The sequence below is a fragment of the Homo sapiens genome, chromosome 2, assembly GCF_000001405.40.
Source record: "Homo sapiens chromosome 2, GRCh38.p14 Primary Assembly".
In the NCBI taxonomy this organism is placed as follows: domain Eukaryota; kingdom Metazoa; phylum Chordata; class Mammalia; order Primates; family Hominidae; genus Homo; species Homo sapiens.
The window spans coordinates 37,196,474-37,216,260 of NC_000002.12; the positions used below are offsets into that span (position 1 = coordinate 37,196,474).

Consider the following 19,787-nt stretch of genomic DNA (forward strand, 5'->3'; position numbering starts at 1 on the left):
CGTCGCCAACCGTTGCGCATGCGCAGTCCCCCTTGAACGCACCTCAGGTAAGACTCTGGCGAGTGGCTTCCCATGGGCGGTCGGATTTCGGGGTCCCTAGTGCGACGAGAGTGGGGCGGTCTTCTGCGTGGGGCCTCGTCACAGTTCTGGGGGCATGTGGAGGATAGTCAGGTGTCACTGCCTTAATTCACTGGAGGCGAGTGTTTCCGGGTCGCTAGGCGGCCGTGGTCTGGCGGCCGGGCCGTGCTCCGTGCGTGCCCGCGCGTGTCGCCTGCAGGCCCGGGCCTAGCGTTCCGCGGGCTAGGGGAGAGCTGAGGGCAGCCGAGGGCACCAGGGAACCGGGGGAAGCGGGAGCTGGGTGGGACCGCGGCAGGAGCCGGGAGCCGGGGGAGCGGAGGCGGCCAGCTCTCGGCCTCTGTTGAAAAGTCGTCCTCTGCACAGCTAGGCTGGGAGAGACGTTGCTGCTTGAAACCGCGTAGCCTGCAGACGCTAAGCTGGGAGGCCGCCCCGATTCCCTGGAGCGCATCCCGGGATAAGGGGCTTCCGACCCAGCATTGCACATTTGGCTTGAGCTTGTGTCCCCGAGTCAGCGTCTCAGCCCCGTGTGATGTTAACTGCATGACACACAGCCCTGCGCCGAATCTGTCAGAGGCGGCTTCGTGTTAAACTTCACCTAAACTTCCCGGAATGATGCCTTTCCCTGTGCCGAGAAGGCAGGCGCTGGTCTGCCGTGTCTCCCTTGCCGCAGCTAGTAAACCTCACTTCTTTGTGGGTGGACAGGTGTATCCCTGGTGGTCTGTAGCAAAGGAACTTGAAGTTTTATCAGCCTCCTGAAGCCGAGAGCCTCAGTGCAAAACGTATATGTATTTTTAAAAAGGTAAATACTTTGTTGTACGGTGTTATTTGGAGGCAGCTATGCTCACCACTATACACCAAGGCAGCCGTACAGTATTATTCGCACTTTATTTTCTTTTCTTTTAACCCTGGCCTACAGATGGACTTTATTTCTTAGCACCACCCTCTCTTAAAACAAAATTTTACTTCGATTCCTTGAATAATGGAACTGGCTGCAGGCGGTCTTTGTTCATTCCTTGAACATTAAAAATAACCCCAAGAGGCCGGGCGTGGCGGCACACGCCTGTAATACCAGCACTTTGGGAGGCCGAGGCGGGAGGATCACTTGAGGTCGGAAGTTAGCCTGGCCAACATGGTGAAACCTCATCTCTACTAAACATACAAAAAATTAGCCAGACGTGGTGGCACACGCCTATAATCCCAGCTACTCGGGAGGCTGAGGCAGGAGAATCACTTGAACCCGGGAGACGGAGGTTGCAGTGAGCCAGGATCGCACCACTGCACTCCTGCCTGGGAGACAGCAAGACCCAGTCTCAAAAAAATAAAAATAGGCCAGGCGCGGTGGCCCACGCCTGTAATCCTAGCACTTTGGGAGGCCGAGGCCTGTGGATTGCCTGAGCTCAGGAGTTGGGGACCACCCTGGGCAACAGGGTGAAATCCGTCTCTACTAAAATACAAAAAATTTGCTGGGCCTGGTGGCGGGAGTCCCAGCTCCCAGCTACTGGGGAGGCTGAGGCAAGAGAATTGCTTGAATCCGGCAGGCGGAGGTTACAGTGAGCCAAGATCGCGCCACTGCACTCCAGCCTGGGCGACAGAGCGAGACCGTGTCTCCAAAAATAAAATAAAAAAAAAATAACCCCAAGAGAGGCATCTGTACTGAGCATGACTTACTTTCTGTCAGTCATGTACAGCATTGTAGTGAATGGAGCAAAACAACTGTCCCTTCCCACCACTCAACTGCCTCTTAGTTATATATGAATTACTTTGTAAATTTCTTTGCTTCATTTCTTTTAAATAAGAATAATAAAGTTTTAATCTTTTGGTCCCCAGGGTGATCACATTATTAAAATGAGGGAATTTGGGGGGTGGTGGGGAGGGCCACCTGGTAAGATATCAGCAGAATAATCCTACAAAAGGAAGGTTATTTGATTACACCCACCCTCAGGCATTGAAAAGGGGTCGGAAGTGAATGGAGTAAACACCTGACAGCAGCGAGCTGGGATTGAGAACAAAAGAGCACACACAGGACAATAGAAAAATCTGAAAAACAAGTGGTTCTCCTCTTCTGGACTTTGAGGTTATAAGGAGGCTGACTAAAAACTTGGGTTTACATTAATGTCTTCAGTAAGTCTTATATTCTATTTTCTTAGCTTATCTTTAATTTGAAAAAGAATAATGACACAAACGCTTTTTCCTGATTAGCTTTTAAAGGAAGACAATCAAGATCTAACCGGTCTGTAGTTTTGCCACTTAACTGGTTCATCACCCAATCAGTTTCCATCCCCTGCCCCCATTTGTATAAAAATTACTGCGTGTCTGCGAAAGGGCAGATTACTGGCTCATGCCTGTAATCCCAGCACTTTGGGAGGCTGAGGTGGGCGGATTGCTTGAGCTCACGGGTTCGAGACCAATCTGGGCAACATGGTGAGACCCTGTGTCTACTAAAAATACAAAAAATACAAAAAAATAGCCAGGCATGCCAGTGGTCCCAGCTGCTCGGGAGGCTGAGGTGGGAGGATTGTTTGAGCCCAGTGAGCTGAGATTGTGCCACTGCACTCCAAATGCCTGAACTATGGCACAGTTTAGTATATGTTGTATTAATAGTTTAGTATATGTTGTATTATTAGTATGTATCAGTATATAGGATATCTATACTATCTATAATATATAGTATATGTAATAGTGTATGTTGTATTAATAAATGAAGAACTCCAGCCCTTTAGAAAGTGTAGAACCACTTGAGAAAGATCTTACTTTTGTACGGCACTTTACAAAGAGCTGTTTATATATTGTATCCATTTAGATTATTTCTTAACTCCCAGTGCAGCTAAAAAATTATCTTCCCCATTCTGTTTTCCTACACAATTAAATAATTTTAGTTCCGTAAATTGTTCTTTTTACAACGCTTTCTTGCATTTTCTCTCTTTCCTGTGCTTTATCCAATTTTGTCTTTGGTTCATCATGCCCCTCAGGCATGGAGTTTGAAAACTAGGTAGATAGGATGTCTAAACCAAAAAAGTATACCATAGTATTGGTCTTACTCCCATACAGAGAAGCCATTCAAACTGTGGGAATGAATTTGAGTTATTAGAGAAATGATAATAGTAGTTTAAGTATGTTCATTCAGGTTTACACATATCTGTTGTTAAATTTAGGATGGCCCGTACTTTGGAACCACTAGCAAAGAAGATCTTTAAAGGAGTTTTGGTAGCCGAACTTGTAGGCGTTTTTGGAGCATATTTTTTGTTTAGCAAGATGCACACAAGCCAAGGTAATCATAATTCAGAAGTTAATGCTTTCTAAAGGGGTATAGTTTTGCTAATCCATTTTATGTGTTAAATGGCAATGGCATGTTTGGAGAAATTGGTTCTTCAGATTCAAGATATTAGACATTTTTAGGGGCAGAACAGGAATCAAAGTATTCATTATTGTGGACTAGATCACTCTCACTTCTCCCTTAAAAATGTTGTTTGTGGGCTAAGGAAAAAATTTCATACCTCCATGGATTTTACTATTGTGGAGGATATAGCAAGTGTCCTTGGTCTGGCTTAGTTTGGGAGCACAGATGGAGGAAACTTAGCCTGCCCATTATACTTCATTGTTTGGTAGACTAAGAAAGTAACTGGTATTGCTGTTTTCTGAGTAACCAGTTTTCTCAGGCTATAGTATTCTTCCTGGGCATCAACAGTGGGCACTAAGACTTTCACATGCTATGGCCGAAAGTGCTTTAACATTTTTCTTGGGGAAATTTTATATTAGAGCTCTCAACTTTTTAAATTAGGAAGTGATTTTTCCCTAAAACAGGGAATAGACCTGGCATGATAGCCATCTTTGAAACTTGCCACAGTCTTCCTCAGCATACTTGGTTGGAACGCTGTACCAAGATGCTACTGGATACTCAAAAAATCCCTTTTCTTTTAAACTCTAAGGAAGGGTATTAAAAAAACATCCCAACAGTATTTAAAAACAAATTAAAGCTTGGGATCAGTTTTAAAAAGTGTCATGGCTGGGTGTGATGGCTTGCACTTGTAATTCCAGCACTTCGGGAGGCCAAGGTGGAAGGACTGCTTGAGCTCAGTCTGGGCTAAACATAACAAGACACTGTATCTTAAGAAAAAAAAAAAAAGTGCTGGGCATGATGGTGTGCTCCTGTAGTCCCAGCTACTCGGGAGGTTGAGGTAGGAGGCTCCCCTGAGCCCCATCCCAGCTACTTGACCTTGGCTGACGTAGGAGGCTCGCTTGAGCCCAGCCCAGGGGGGTCTAGGCAGTGGTGGATTGTGACTGTGCCACTGTACTGCAGCCTGGGCAACAGGGAGAGAGATCCTGACTCAAAAAAACAAAAGGAGATCGTTCCTGGATTACCAGAAAGACCTTCAAACAAATTTCTAATCTATATGGTTCCCATCATATGGACCCTAAAGCTAGCATTAAATTGTGGCTGTGTTAATATAATGAATTTCTGTTCATATCTAATTTCAAGACATCCTTTTTTCCATCAGATTTCAGGCAAACAATGAGCAAGAAATATCCCTTCATCTTGGAAGGTATGTTTTTCCTTAAGTAAAAATAAGTATAAAACAACTTCTTCAGGTAACCTATAAATTATGTAGTAATTTCTTTACAAGGAATTTCTAACAATACTATTCACATGTATTTTAGTTCTTCTGAGACTAAATTCTCATCTATTCTAGTGAGAGGAGAATTAGGTAATGGGCTGGATTCTGAATTCTTCTAGTGGTTAAGAATGTAAACTCTGGAATCATTCATATATGAGGTGATAGAATCAAACCACAGTTTAAACCTTTGGTTTTAAAAGATCAGTTTCATCTCAGGTTTGCTAACTTCTTGGAGCTGTCTCTTTCTCTGTCAAGTAGATAAAGACTGAACAAGATGACATCATGTAGTTAGACGAAATAGTGCTCATTACAATGATCAGAGATGCCAGGACTTATATGTGAAGTCTGTAATCCTACTGTCCTCTTTTTCATTTTGTTATGTAGCAATATGGAAAAAAGAAGTTGTTTTTTTCAATACATTTAATTTTAACAATGCTTCCACATGACTTTATAAATGAGAGCTATTTTTATTTATAGTTTATTACAAATCCACTGAGAAGTCTGGAATGTATGGAATCAGAGAGCTAGATCAAAAAACATGGTTGAACAGCAAAAATTAGATGTAAGTAGAATTTTAATCTATAATTTACATTAATAACTCATTTCCTTTGTTTTTTAGTTTTTTGAGTGGTTTTAATCCTCTTCTTTTTAAAATGTTTCTTTTTCTTGATGATACTTTTTGCATCTCTGTTGTGTAGCCAGTCATCACGTTCAGCCTCCCATCTAAGCTGTTTGAGACCTTTGAGAGAAGAAGAAAAGATGAGTGTACTACCACACTGTAGACTCTTGGTGGTCCCACAGAACATGCTGCTGAGTCACAGGAACTTCTAGCCTGCCTTGGCCTGTGGTTTCCCACCCACTATACAAACCCACTGCTTGTTTGTTGCTTTTCTTCTCATATTTATTGTCAAAGATAAATGTTTCAAAAAGAAATGACTAAGGAAGGAAAAGAAACAAATGCTCTAAAGATTTTCTCTCCCCAAGCACTTTTACTGGTGAAATAAAAACCAGTAACAATCAATATGTAAAAACGGCCCACTTCCCTAAAAAAAAGTAATTTTTGTAGTCTGCAAGGTTTTTTTTTTTTTTGCTTTAGTCTAAATACTTGTTAATCTTACATGTTCTCCTGAGAGAAGAAAAAGCCATTCCTTTCAGGTTGTAAAGTACCATGAAAAGGTCTTTCAAAAATATTCCTATCAGCCAGGCATGGTGGCTCACACCAGTAATCTCAGCACTTTGGGAGGCCGAGGCAGGCGGGTCACTTGAGGTCAGGAGTTCGAGACCAGCCTGGCCAACATGGTGAAACCCTGTTTCTACTAAAAATACAAAAATTAGCTGGGCGTGGTGGTGCATGCCTGTAATCCCAGCTACTTGGGAGGCTAAGGTAGGAGAATTACTTGAACATGGGAGATGGAGGTTGCAGTGAGCCAAGATCATGCCACTGCATTCCAACCTGGGCAAGGGAGTGAGACGCTGTCTCAAAAAAAAAAAAAAAAAAAAAAAAAAAAAAAAAAAAAAAAAAAAAAAAGAATAAATAAAATAACGAAAATTTCCTATCTTCTGAAGTTCCAAGCCAAAGCTATTTTTAAAACATCAATAAAAAAATTTAAGTTACTTACTTGCATTATCTTTGTTAGCCATGGCATTCATGCCAATGTTATCAAACTTGGATCCCATATTTTCATCCAATAGATGGCCAAACTTTTAAACAAAAACGATAAATTTATTAGAAAACTAAAAATAATGTAGAATAGCTAGCTTGTTAAAACAGTACATTAGCCTTACCTCTTCAGCAGATACAAATAGGCTGGAATCATTTAAGTTTCTTTTCTTTTTTCTTGGCCCTAAAAAAAATTGTAAGTCTACATTATTCAATTATAAATCTAATGATTTTAGAAAAATGCAATGCAACATGATTTTATTTTAAAAATTATACTTGGGTAAAAACAATTGCAATAATCTTCTGGCACCATTGGGTAGCTGGCATTTAAATATAATTTAAGAGTTAGTATATAATATTTTCAAAAAGCTAACAACATCCTAATAGAACTGTTCAGATGACAAGAGTGTCTTCTTGCTTTTCAGATTTGGCCACTGATCGAAGTTTTACCCATAAGGGAAATAACATAGTATCAAGCAATAGTAAAATTATCAGTTTGACATGGATGGGTTTTGAAATACTTAAGACACAACATAAAATTTAGTTCAGGGGTCTTTAGATTGTAAAGAAATTGACTGAAAGTATGTTTATTATGCTATAAATGAAGTTGTTTATAACAGCGAAAAAGGTTCTCCTTTAAAAAAAAAACTTATCTGTAGTACTGAATATATAAACTTTTCCTGAAACAATTATTCAAACTCTGCATCTTTGATATCAATGTCTCTAGCAGTAGTAGAGCCATATTTTAAAAAGAGCTTTACTAAATACAGATCATAACATTCAGCTGTTTTAAGTGTATTAACGCATTTTGGTAAATTTACAGACTTGTTCAACCACAACCACAGTCTGATTTTAGAACATTTCCATCAACTTCAAAGATCCCTGGTGCCATTTGTAGTCCTCCAACCCATCTCCGATCTATCTTGTTTCTATGACTTGCCTTTTCTGGCTATTTCATATAAATGGGATCATATGACATGTGGTTTCCTATATCTGACTTTTTTCATTTAGCATAACGTTTTTGAGGCTCATCCATGTTGTAGTACTCCATGCCATGTTGTGGGCTACATAATATTCCATTGTATGGATATACCACATTTTGCTTATCAGTTAATGGACATTTAGGTTTTGTCTACTTTTTGGCATTAATAGTGCTGCTGTGAACAATCATGTACAAGTCTTTGTATCAGAGCCACTTTTGATAAAATAGTTTCTAAAACATTTCATCTTGATTTTTATTAAGGTGATATGTATGTTACTTAACAGCTGTATAATACACATTTGCATGCATTAGGAAGTTTTTTTTGGGTTTTATTCATCCTGTAGTGATGTATCTGTGACCTCAACGAGTAGGCACTTCTGTACTGTACTGGTTTCTTAAAGTTTCTTTTATCCCGCCCCCACCCCCAACCTCAGCCTCAAGTATGTAACACCATGCCTGGCTAATTTTTGATTTTTTTTTTTTTTTTTTTGAGACAGAGTCTCGCTTTGTCGCCAGGCTGGAGTACAGGGGCGTGATCTCGGCTCACTGCAACCTCTGCCTTCTGGGTTCAAGCGATTCTCCTGCCTCAGCCTCCCAAGTAGCTGGGCCTACAAGTGCATGCCACCACGCCAAGCTAATTTTTGTATTTTTAGTAGAGATGGGGTTTCATCATGTTGGCCAGGATGGTCTTGATCTCTTGACCTTGTGATCTACCTGCCTTGGCCTCCCAAAGTGCTGGGATTACAGGCGTGAGCCACTGCGCCCAGCCATTTTTGATTTTTTGTAGAGATGGGGTCTCATTGTGTTGCCCAGGCTGATTAAAGTTTCTATAAGGTATGTTTATTCTTAAGGATATCTACTCTAACACCTGTAAATGTAGGGTGATCAATTAGTAAATTAATAAATCTGAATCAATTAATAAATCTGTTTAAAATTCCTTGCCTCTTTTTGTTTCAGTCAATTCTGTTGGGTATTCTTTAATCTGCATCCAAAACTATTATCAATTGAGATCTGAAATCCTTTCAGGCTAATGTCTTCTGAAACAGTACTTTACTATTTGAAACAAGCTCAGAGCATCTTTTTTAACATTAAAAAATTTTTTTCTTCTCCTCAAATTCCTTTTACCAGCATCTTTTAATAAAAGGCTCAGTAGAACTTGAAGTAAAGCAACACTTTTCTGTGGGATGCTTTTGAGAAAAACTGCCTATATCTCATCTTATGCTAATACTAAAACATGATCTTAGATACTCAAGGGAAGACAAAATCTGGAAGATAACGTGTTATAATTTAAATATGTATCAGTTAAATCATAGTTATTACAGGACTAAGAAATTGACAGCAGTATTTGAAAGAGCTGATAAAATTTTGTAGGCGTGAGGCTCTGAAAGACTACTACCAATATGTAAATGAAACTTTTTGTCAGGCCTCTGAGCCCAAGCTAAGCCATCATATCCCCTGTGACCTGCACGCACACATCCAGATGGTCGGTTCCTGCCTTAACTGATGACATTCCACCACAAAAGAAGTGAAAATGGCCTGTTCCTGCCTTAACTGATGACATTATCTTGTGAAATTCCTTCTCCTGGCTCATCCTGGCTCAAAAGCTCCCCTACTGAGCACCTTGTGACCCCCACTCCTGCCAGGCAGAGAACAACCCCCTTTGACTGCAATTTTCCTTTTTTCTACCCAAATCCTATAAAATGGCCCCACCCCTATCTCCCTTCACTGACTCTCTTTTCGGACTCAGCCCGCCTGCACCCAGGTGAAATAAGCAGCCTTGTTGCTCATGCAAAGCCTGTTTGGTGGTCTCTTCATACAGACGCGCATGAAACTTTTTAAAACATTATTATTATTTAACTTTGCAGATCTATTTTTAGTCATCAGTATTTAGCAGTAAGCAGAAGCCAGAGAGGCACTGGAGGCAAAGTATGTACAGTGCTTTCTACATTTTTATCAAAAATCTTAAGACTGTCACCTGATACAGCACTTTTTTCTTTTATTAGCACCTTGTGTTACACTGTGAAGCAGAATCTTGTAAGATAATACTTTTAAAAATGTTAAAAAACAATTAGCAGAAAGAAGAGTTCGTATCATAATAAAGGAGCATGGATTATTGCAAGGGTCAAATGGCAAATAATGGTTGAGAAAAGAAAAAGATAACAGGTGTCTGAAAAATGCAAGGCTTTTATAATTGAATGGTTTAAAAATGAATGAGCAGAGATTAGCATGTGAATCTCTGGACTAGGTAAGGAAGATCTGCATTCAAATGTGAGTGGGCACCATCCAATCTGCTGGGGCCCTGGAGAGAACAAAACAAAGAGGCAAACATGTTGATCTGCTGTGCTGAGGAGGAAAATGGCGGATAAGGGGACAGGACTAACGTGCAGCTCCCACATGGATGGACAGAACAGCGTGTGGCAACGTGTTTAGTCTCCTTAAAAGGTATCCAACAAAACTAAGCTTCCTAAATGAAGGAGAGATATCTATGCTGAGAATTCACCACTACCAAGCCAGCACTATAAGAAATGCTGAAAGGAGTTCTAAATCTTTGTTTTTTGTTTCTTTTTTTGAGATGGAATCTTGCTCTGTCGCCCAGGCGGGAAGGCAGTGGTGTGATCTTGGCTCACTGCGACCTCTGCCTAATGGGTTCAAGTGATTTTTGTACCTCAGCCTCCTCAGTAGCTGGGATTATAGGGGCTTACCAACATGCCCAGCTAATTTTTGTATTTTTTGTAGAGATAGGGTTTTGCCATGTTGGCCAGGCTGGTCTTGAACTCCTGACTTCAGGTGATGCCCGCCTGGGCCTCCCGAAGTGCTGGGATTACAGGTGTGAGCCACTACACTCAGCCTAGGAATTCTAAATCTTGAAACAAAACCTTGAAGTACACCAAAATAGAGCCTTCTTAAAACCTAAATCTTACAGGGCCTATACAATAACACAATGAAAAAACAACAAAATCAAAGTATTCAAGCAACAACTAGCATGATGAATAGAATAGTACCTCACATCTCAAATACTACGTTGGATGTAAATGGCCTAAATGCTCCTCTTAAAAGATACATTTGGACCACCAACCAAGAATCTGCTGTGTTCAGGAGACTCACGTAACACATAAGGACTCACATAAACTTAAGGTAAAGGGGTGGGAAAAGATATTCCATGCAAATGGAAACCAAAAGCAAGCAGGACTAGCTATTCTTATATCAGACAAAACAGACTTTAAAGCAACAACAGTTAAAAAAGACAAAGAGGGACATTACATACTAGTAAAATGATTAGTCCAACAAGAAATGTCATAATCCAAAATATATATGCACCTACCACCAGAGCTTCCAAATTTATAAAACCATTACTACTAGACCTAAGAAATTAGACAGATGGCAACACAATAATAGTGGGTGACTTCAATACTCCACTGACAGCCCTAGACGGGTCATCAAGACAGAAAGTCAACAAAGAAACAATGGACTTAAACTATACCTTAGAACAAATGGACTTAACAGATACCTACGGAACATTCTACCCAAAAACTGCAGAATATACATTATTTTCACCAGCACACGGAGCATTCTCAAGGATAGACCATATGGTAGGCCACAAAACAAGTCTCAATAAACTTAAGAAAACTGAAATTGTATCAAGTACCCTCTCACACCACAGTGGAATACAATTGGAAATTAACTCCAAAAGGAACCCTCAAAACTATATACAAATACATGGAAATTTAATAATCTGCTCTTGAATGATCTTTGTGTCAACAATGAAATCAAGATGGAAATTAAAATTTTTTGAACTGAACAATAGTGACACAACCCATCAAAACCTCTGGGATACAGCAAAAGCGGCACTACATTTAGTAAGTTCACAGCATTAAATGTCTACATCAAAAAGTCTGAAAGAGCATAAACAGACAATCTAAGCTCACACCTCAAGGAACTAGAGAAACAAGAACAAATCAAACTCAAACCCAGCAGAAGAAAAGAAATAACAAATATCAGAGCAGAACTAAATAAAACTGAAGCAAACACTACAAAAGATAAATGAAACAAAAAGCTGGTTCTGTGGAAAAATAAAGAAAATCGGTAGACCATTAGCAAGATTAACCAAAAAAAGAAGAGAGAAGATCTGAATAAGCTCAATTAGAGACGAAATGGGAGATACTACAACCGATACCACAGAAATACAAAAGATCATTCAAGGCTACTATGAACACCTTTATGCACAAAAACTAGAAAACCTAGAGAAAAATGGATAAATTCCTGGAAATATACAACCCTTCTAGATTAAACCAGAAAGAAATGGAAACTCTGAACAGACCAATAACAAGTAGCACGACTGAAACAGTAATAAAAAAACTGCCAACAAAACAAAGTCCAGGACCAGATGGATTCACAGCTGAATTCTATCAGACATTCAAAGAACTGGTACCAATCCTACTGAAACTATTCCAAAAGATAGGGAAAGAGGGAATCCTCCCTAAATCATTCAATGAAGCCAATATCGCCCTAATTCCAAAATCAGGAAATGACATAACAAAAGAAAACTAGAGACCAATATTCCTCATGCACACAGATGCAAAAACCCTCAACAAAATACTAGCTAACCAACTCCAACAGCATATCAAAAAGATAATACACCATGATCAAGTGGGTTTCTTGCCAGGGATATAGGGCTGGTTTAACATACGCAAGTCAATAAATATGATATACCACATAAACAATTAAAAACAAAAATCATATGATCATCTCAATAGACGCAGAAAAAGCATTTGACAAAATCAAGCATCCTTTATGATTTAAACCCTCAGCAAAACTGGCATACAAGGGACGTACCTTAAAAGTAATGAAAGCCATCTATGATAAACCCATAGCCAACATTATACTGAACAGGGAAAAGTTGAAAGCATTCCCCCTGAGAACTGGAACAAGACAAGGATGCCCACTTTCACCACTTCTATTCAACATAGTACTGGAAATCCTAGCCAGTGCAACTGGACAAGAGAAAGAAAGGGCATTCAAATCAGTAAAGAGGAAGTCAAACTGTCACTATTCACCGATGATATGATAGCATACCTAGAAAACCCTAAAGACTCATCCAAAAAGATCCTAGATCTGATAAATAAATCCAGCAAAGTTTCAGGATACAAAATCAATGTGCGCAAACCAGTAGCATTGCTATACACCAACAGCAACCAAGCTGAGAATCAAATCAATTACTCTACCCCCCTTACAACACCTGCCAAAAAAAAAAAAAATAATAATACTTAGGAATACACCTAATCAAGGAGGTGAAAGATCTCTAAAAGGAAAACTACAAAACACTGCTGAAAGAAACCACAGACACACACAAATGGAAACGCATCCCATGTTCATGGATGGGTAGAATCGATATTGTGAAAATGACCATACTGCCAAAAGCAATCTATAAATTTAATGTAATTCCCATCAAAATGCCATCATCATTCTTCACAGAACTAGGAAAAAAAATCCTGAAATTCATATGGAACAAAATAAGAGCCTGCATAGCCAAGCAAGACTAAACAAAAAGAACAAATCTAGAGGCATCTCATTACCTGACTTCAAACTATACTACTAGGCTATTGTTACCAAAATAGCATGGTACTTGTACAAAAACAGGCACGTAGACCAATGGAACAGAATAGAGAACCCAGAAATAAAGCCAAATACTTACAACCATCTGATCTTTGACAAAGTAAACAAAAACAAAGTGGGGAAAGGACACCCTATTGAACCATTGGTGCTGGGATAACTGGCAAGCCACATGTAGGAGAATTAAACTGGATCCTCATTTCTCACCTTATGCAGAAAACTCAAGATGGATCGAAGACTTAAAGATAAGACCTGAAACTGTAAAAATTCTAGAATATAACATTGGAAAAACTCTTCTAGACATTGGCTTAAGTAGAGTTCATGACCAAGAACCTAAATGCAAATGCAACAAAAACAAATAGATGGGACTTAATTAAGCTAAAAAGCGTCTGCATAGCAAAATAAATAATCAGCAGAGTAAATAGACAACCCATAGAGTGGGAGAAAATCTTCGTAAACTATGCATCTGAGAAAGGACTAATGTCCAGAATCTATAAGGAACTCAAAAAAGTCAGCAAGAAAAAAACAATCCCATCAAAAAGTGTGTTAAGGATATGAACAGACAATTCTCAAAAGATATACAAATGGTCAAGAAACATATGAAGAAATGCTCAACATCCCTGATTATCAGGGAAATGCAAATCAAAGCCACAGTGCAATACCACCTTACTCCTGCAAGAATGGCCGTAATTTAAAAATAAAAAAAATTTCAGATGTTGGCATGGATGTGGTAATAAGGGAACACTTCTACATTGCTGGTGGGAATGTAAACTAGTACAACCACTATGGTAAACAGTATGGAGAGTCCTTAAAGAACTGAAAGTAGAACTATCATTTGATCTAGCAATCCCACCACTGGGTACTACCCAGAGGAAAATAAGTCATTATATAAAAAAGACAAACACACAGATTTATAGTAGCACAATCTGCAATTGCAAAAATATGGAACCAACCTAAATGCCCATCAACTAATGAGTGGATAAAGAAAATGTGGTATACATATACCATGGAATGCTACTCATCCATAAAAAGGAGAGAAATAATGGCATTCGCAGCAACCTGAATACAGCTGGAGACCATTATTCTAAGCGAAGTAATTCAGGAATGGAAAACCAAACATTCTATGTTCTCAGTTATAAATGGGAGCTAAGCAATGAGGATGCAAAGGCTTAAGAATGATATAATGGACTCTGGGGACTTGGGGGGAAGAGTGGGAGGCAGTGGGGGATAAGAGTACACATTGGGTGCAGTGTACTGCTTGAGTGATGGGTGCACCAAAATCTCAGAAATCACTACTAAAGAACTTACCTATGTAACCAAACACCCTACCTGTTCCCCAAAAACAACTGAAATAATGATAACAAATTTTTAAAAAGTGAATGAAAAGATGATCCAGAGATATCTGAATGCGAGAAACAATTCAAAATGTGGAAAATAATTTCCACTTAACATCTTTCTTAAAAAGAACCCCCCCCACCCCTGAATTTTATTAATCAAATTTAGGAGAGTTCATTTCCCAAAATGATAATGACACCTTTCACATGGACACTGCTTTTAAAAGATATTAAATGTATTTTCTTACCTTGAAATGAGCCAGCAAAGTCAAAATCATCTGTACCTTTTCTCTTGCTTTTCTTAGTACTGACTTTGGAGTGGACTTCAAGTTCTGTTACACGAAAAAATTTGCTAATAAGCAATTTAAAAACAATAAGACTGGAAAATATTACTCCAAGATATGCTAAAATCTTTATTCTGATGGTAAGGCACTATACTGCTATTCCATGTGGGTTTTGTAATTCCACTAGCATAGGCTTGAGGACAGACTGAGAAAAAGACTCTAAGAATTGGCACAGTTCTAATATTTTGTGCAAGTACAAAATTTTCTAAATAGCTTCATTAATAAGACCAAATAATATAAAACCCCTTAAAACAAGAAACTTCTGCTGTGGTTCAGAATAAGTAAGAAGAATGTTGGGCAGGCATGTGCATGCTGGAGGTATGTGAAAGGACAGAAAGGTCAGACAACAGTCTAGAGACAATTCTGGGTGTTCCTTGCTAATTTACAAGATAAAATATTCACCTTCATCTATGCTGGGCTATGATGAATACTGATTAACTTTTATAAACTGCTAATTACTATCAAAAAATGGCAGCATTTCAGCTCAACATGTATTGTACAGAGAAGCTAGCTGCTGGTTAAAGTAAAAGTCCAAAGCTCAAAAAGCTGCTTAAAAGAAAACACACATAACACACAATAAAAACCCTTCAGCTCCAAACGAGAAGGGAAAAGGTCCTTTTAAGTTTCTGGCTGACATGAGTATTAATTTGAATACAGGGCTATATTAAAAACCTTTAGCAGAAAAACAAACTTAAGGCTAAGGAAGTGAGGAAGACACAGTTTATGTCTTATTTTAAAAAATGCTTACCTGGAACGCTCTCACTTTCATCATCTAACACATCCATGAATGTTCCTCCATCTTCATCAACTTCAGCAAATTCTTCATCATCCATACTTCCTAAAGAAACTTCATCGTCATCCAGGTTACCAAGTTCATCATCACTACCTTCTGAATCTTCATCTAATGTGTTATCCTTAGCTCCTTTTGTTCTCTTTTTCACGTTTCTGGAAAAAAACACAACTTGTAATACAAGAGGAGGCAGTATTTTCTAAAGTAGTGTTTTGCTGACTACTAGGGCAGTAGGCTATTAAATGACTCAGAAGGAGAAAGCTTTGCAGACTGCTCAGAGTAAATAATAACGTGCTTTATAAATGTCAAAGATGAAAGTACTGTATCCACTTCCCAAACTTACTTGACTACATTTCCCCTTTATCATATAGTTCTGTGGTCTACTGTTCTGAGGGACAACAATTTGGGAAATGCTAGAAAAATAGGAAGGAGAAGATAGAAGTATGTTACCCAGCAAAATCCATATCATCCTTTCCAGAGCTGAAACAGTTATCATCTTCAAATGTGTCTGCCAGACAATACAGAAATGTGAGATACAACAAAGAATGACAAGCTTGACATATATCTTGTATCTGAATCAATTATTCTAAGTCATGATTCTGCTGTTTATGACAAGTGAACACCAAAACAATGTAAATGTTACTGTTGCTAGTGTGCCTTAATAATGTATACAAACCTGTGAAATACTGATCTTAGTTAAATCCCAAAACTAAAGAAGGATCCAGTTAATTTCGGCTCTTTCTACAGTTCTTTTATGGAAAGAGGATAAATATCAAATAAAATGATATTTAGCAATTGTCGTCCTTTTTACTCTATTAGAACTACTTAAGTGCTCATTTTTAATAGGTGTGATACAATATGTAACATCTCATGCTTGTAATTCCAGCACTTTGGGAGGCCGAGGTGGAGTGATCATCAGCCTGGGCAACACGGCAAGACCCTATCTCTATTAAAAAAAAAAAAAAAACAAAAACAACAACAACAAAAAAAAAAACAAAAAAAAAACGAGCCGGACATCATGGCATGTACCTGTAGTCCCAGCTACCCGTGGGGCTGAGGCAGGAAAATCGCCTGAGCCCAGAAGGTCTAGGCTGCAGGGCTGCAGTGAGTTGGGATTGTGCCACTGCACTCCAGCCTGGGAGACAGAGAGAGCCTGTCTCAAAACAAACAAACAAACCCCCCAAAAAACAACAACAAAAAAATATGTAACGTGAAATCAGTGTAAGTCTTTCCAATTTACCATGTTTTTTGTTTAAGTCTATTAAGTTTCAATCAAAATTTCTGTAGCTCTGTGGATTAAAGATAAAAAAGATCAAACAGTAGACTATTGCTATCAATTAGTACTGATATACTATAATAGATTATGAATAGTAAAAAGGATTTCTTTTTCACATGAGATTTGGCTGTAACAATTGAATAGACTTAAGCAAATATAAATGTTTTCTTATATAGACTATCCAAAGCACAAATCATGTATTTTTCTGGTGCAAATGTGGGTGAATTACCATATATCATAAAAATATTTGTTTCTTTTGTTTTTTTTTTGAGACAGGATTTCACTCTGTCACCCAGGCTAGAGTGCAGTGCCGTAATCTTGGCTCACGGCAACCTCTGACTCCTGGATTCAAGCGATTCTCGTGCCTCTGCTTCTCGAGTAGCTGGGACTACAGGTGCGTGCCACCATGCCCAGCTCATTTTTTGGGGTTTTTAGTAGAGACAGGGTTTCACCATATTGGCCAGGCTGGTCTCGAACTCCTGACCTCAAACAATCTTCCTGCCTCGGCCTGCCAAAGTGCTGGGATTACAGGTGTGAGCCACAGCGCCTGGCCCCAAATATTTCTTAATCTTCCACTGTGATTTGCATGATATTCTTAGCTAAGTGATTTTTTAAAACTAAGGCCACTTCTCCCACTAATGTTCCATGGTCTATTAACACATAGTAGTAGATTATTTTACAAAGAGTCAACAAAACAAATTACCAATCAGCTCTTCAAATTCTTCATCATCCACGTCTTCTATACTTTCTTCATCTGCATCCCGTTTTTGTTTCTCTTTAACAGCAACTTTTTTATAATACCTATAATATTCATGTTATATATTTGACAATTTTATTAAAGGTCTAATCTTACTATATATCATCAAAGCACCTATGACCAGTGGCAAACCACAACTGTAAAATCTTAAGTATACTCAATTGGAAATAAATGACTGAAATTTGTATCTAATATACAAAAAATAGTTTAACTCAATAAAAAGTAGCTGGAATCTTTTAAGTGTAATACATTTCAAAGATAATATTTTATCAGCCCTATTCTTATATTAGAATACAGCAAAACTTAGCCATTTACAGATGTAATCAAACCCTCAAAATTATTCATTCTAAATGATTTTAAAAAACAAGCCAAATCAAACCTAATTAACCAGTCAACCAGATGAGATAAGAGGTACTTTACTACCCTAAGGCATTAGGTTATGATACTAGTTGGTTTAGGACTTATTTCTATAACAGTGCACTGAATCCATTCTAAGGGCCATGGTCTGGATAAATTACCCATGAGTTATCACTATATTAAACTTAAAGTATTATATTAAAATCTATATTAAAGGTAGATTTTAAGCCTATAAAGAAAATTATTATAAAAGGAAATTAAAGGCTAAATTCCAAAAAGAAGCATAAAACAAAATTTATATGCTAAATTAACAAAACTCCCAAATTTACTTTAGTTTTACTAAGATATATTAAGATTAGCAAAATGACGGATTTGTAAATTTTCTTAACAAACACAGACATATCCTTTGATCTTTTCAAAATATGCTGATTAGATTTCATAAAATGAAGCATTTAAAACTAAGGCCACTTCTCCCACTAATGTTCCATGGTCTATTTACACACAGTAGTAGATTATTGAAGTAGATTATTTCATAAAATGAAGCATTTTATGAAATCTAAAAATTTAAATTTTAGCAGTTTCCCCAAATGAAACTATATTATGTATAGTACCTGTGGAAAAACACTTCATCCACTGGTATTTGGCTTTCTTCTTTTGCAAGGAACTCCTTACTGTTCACTACAAAAATAAATTTAAACATTTTAACTTCATATAGCAATCCCCTTTATGTTACTCAAGCTCTTAAGACAAAATACAGCATAATCTGTAATTCTAAAAATCTCAGAATTGTGTGGGAAGGTAGACAGAAGGGACTCTGGAGTGCAAGGGACAATCTCTGAAAAAGTCTGTGTGAAGACCCCCCCAACATTTGAAACTTCACTGGCTACAGCATAAAGTAGGCAGTACATAGCTGTCAGTGCCGTTACAGTGAAACAACAGGGTTCTCTTACTGTTCTTCATTTGCATCCAGGACCCAACTTTCAAGAGAAATAAAAAATTCAAAGAGTTATTTTAATAAATAATCACTTTAAACTTGTCATTTTCAGCTCAAAAAATGACAAGCTTGCCATTAATGCGTGCCATTCTGGGAATAAACAGGAAGTTAACAGAGTTTTCCTTTATACTGAGGAAAACTAAGAAATAAGGAACTACAAGAAATCAGTTTTACCTCTTCAGAATAAAAATTGCTGACTCATCCTGAGTAAAAGGAGATTTGGCTTTTAATTCTAACTTACTAACTGTGGGTAAGTCCTTTTACATCTCTGGACCTCTGTGAAGTAAGTCACTGGAAATTAAATGATCTATAAGGTCTAATTTAATCCTGGTCTCTGAACAAAAGGGAGATGAGATCTGGTATGCAAAGAAATGTCTGCTTTGAATACAACAACAGACTCAGATCCAGAAGATGGCTAGCAAATATAGAAGTAGGTTATTAAGTTTAAAATGATGCTCTGTGACAAAACCAGCTGTGGGTTTTTGTGCTGCTAAGCTGATATTAGAGAGCTTTAAGATGGTCTGAATTGTAAGCAATAATAATTATATACATAGGGGTTGTGGATGAAGCTACGGATGATAAAATGGTGACAACTGTCAAAGCTGGGTGATGGTAATGGGGAGGGGGTTCATCATACTATTTTGTTTATTTTGGATATGTTTCAAATTTGCTGTAATAAAGTTAAAAAAAAAAAAAAAAAGGCCCAGTCAGATACAGTAGATTTAAGAATACCTATTCTTGGGAAAAAAGATGGATAATGTCTTTGATGCTCAGGTTTTATTCTGATAAATTAGAACAAAGAATAATACAATTTATGCATCTTTGTCTTATATTGTCTTTTCAGTTTCAACTGTCTAAGGTTTATACTTACCAGGAAGATGACGAATATCCTTAATAAAATGTTTTCTTTTCGGCTGCATCACAACACTATCTGTGTTTTCTGAAATGTAAAATTATGACAGTATAATGCAAAACCTAGTTATAAGCTCATA

General features: G+C 38.0%; 2 protein-coding genes across 14 annotated transcripts in view, besides 3 other annotated features; one reads left to right on the plus strand and one right to left on the minus strand.

Annotated features, from left to right (window-relative positions):
- CEBPZOS (CEBPZ opposite strand) lies at positions 23–19,720 on the plus strand. 13 transcript variants are annotated; one of them, NR_136316.2, is made up of 8 exons: positions 23–47; positions 3,231–3,346; positions 4,575–4,619; positions 5,169–5,253; positions 9,579–9,775; positions 16,964–17,081; positions 18,848–19,045; positions 19,640–19,720. NR_136316.2 is itself a non-coding variant. In XM_017003106.2 (7 exons), the coding sequence occupies exons 4-6, from the start codon at positions 3,232–3,234 to the stop codon at positions 5,249–5,251; spliced, it is 243 nt and encodes an 80-aa protein (XP_016858595.1). In that variant the 5' UTR covers positions 23–171; positions 781–877; positions 2,021–2,199; position 3,231; the 3' UTR covers positions 5,252–5,253; positions 5,390–6,183. The 13 variants fall into 13 exon arrangements, 7 of the variants coding, with proteins under 7 accessions (XP_016858595.1, NP_001309302.1, XP_016858597.1 ...); XR_007068208.1 differs by having other exon boundaries at positions 18,848–19,720; XR_007068209.1 differs by lacking the exon at positions 9,579–9,775.
- The window catches only part of CEBPZ (CCAAT enhancer binding protein zeta), a 29,985-nt gene continuing 15,336 nt past the window's right edge, over positions 5,139–19,787 (minus strand). Inside the window, exons 8-16 of the mRNA NM_005760.3 lie at positions 19,667–19,735; positions 18,413–18,479; positions 17,391–17,488; positions 15,862–15,919; positions 15,370–15,566; positions 14,526–14,609; positions 6,477–6,535; positions 6,311–6,392; positions 5,139–5,430 (exon numbers count right to left, since the gene is read on the minus strand). Of these exons, the coding sequence (NP_005751.2) occupies positions 5,291–5,430; positions 6,311–6,392; positions 6,477–6,535; positions 14,526–14,609; positions 15,370–15,566; positions 15,862–15,919; positions 17,391–17,488; positions 18,413–18,479; positions 19,667–19,735 (854 nt within the window). The 3' untranslated portion in view covers positions 5,139–5,290. The remainder of the gene's footprint in view (positions 5,431–6,310; positions 6,393–6,476; positions 6,536–14,525; positions 14,610–15,369; positions 15,567–15,861; positions 15,920–17,390; positions 17,489–18,412; positions 18,480–19,666; positions 19,736–19,787) is intronic.
- Positions 8,129–8,932: an enhancer, noted in NCBI's record as "OCT4-NANOG-H3K27ac-H3K4me1 hESC enhancer chr2:37431745-37432548 (GRCh37/hg19 assembly coordinates)". NCBI's record gives its function as "activates a minimal SCP1, AML or CMV promoter by ChIP-STARR-seq in naive and primed H9 embryonic stem cells {active_cell/tissue: H9 hESC(naive and primed)}" and the evidence as "EXISTENCE:reporter gene assay evidence [ECO:0000049][PMID:30033119]".
- Positions 8,933–9,737: an enhancer, noted in NCBI's record as "OCT4-NANOG-H3K27ac-H3K4me1 hESC enhancer chr2:37432549-37433353 (GRCh37/hg19 assembly coordinates)". NCBI's record gives its function as "activates a minimal SCP1, AML or CMV promoter by ChIP-STARR-seq in naive and primed H9 embryonic stem cells {active_cell/tissue: H9 hESC(naive and primed)}" and the evidence as "EXISTENCE:reporter gene assay evidence [ECO:0000049][PMID:30033119]".
- Positions 18,247–19,446: an enhancer, noted in NCBI's record as "MED14-independent group 3 enhancer chr2:37441863-37443062 (GRCh37/hg19 assembly coordinates)". NCBI's record gives its function as "activates an origin of replication core promoter dependent on BRD2, BRD4, P300/CBP and CDK7 cofactors, and independent of MED14, by STARR-seq in HCT116 cells {active_cell/tissue: HCT116}" and the evidence as "EXISTENCE:reporter gene assay evidence [ECO:0000049][PMID:35650434]".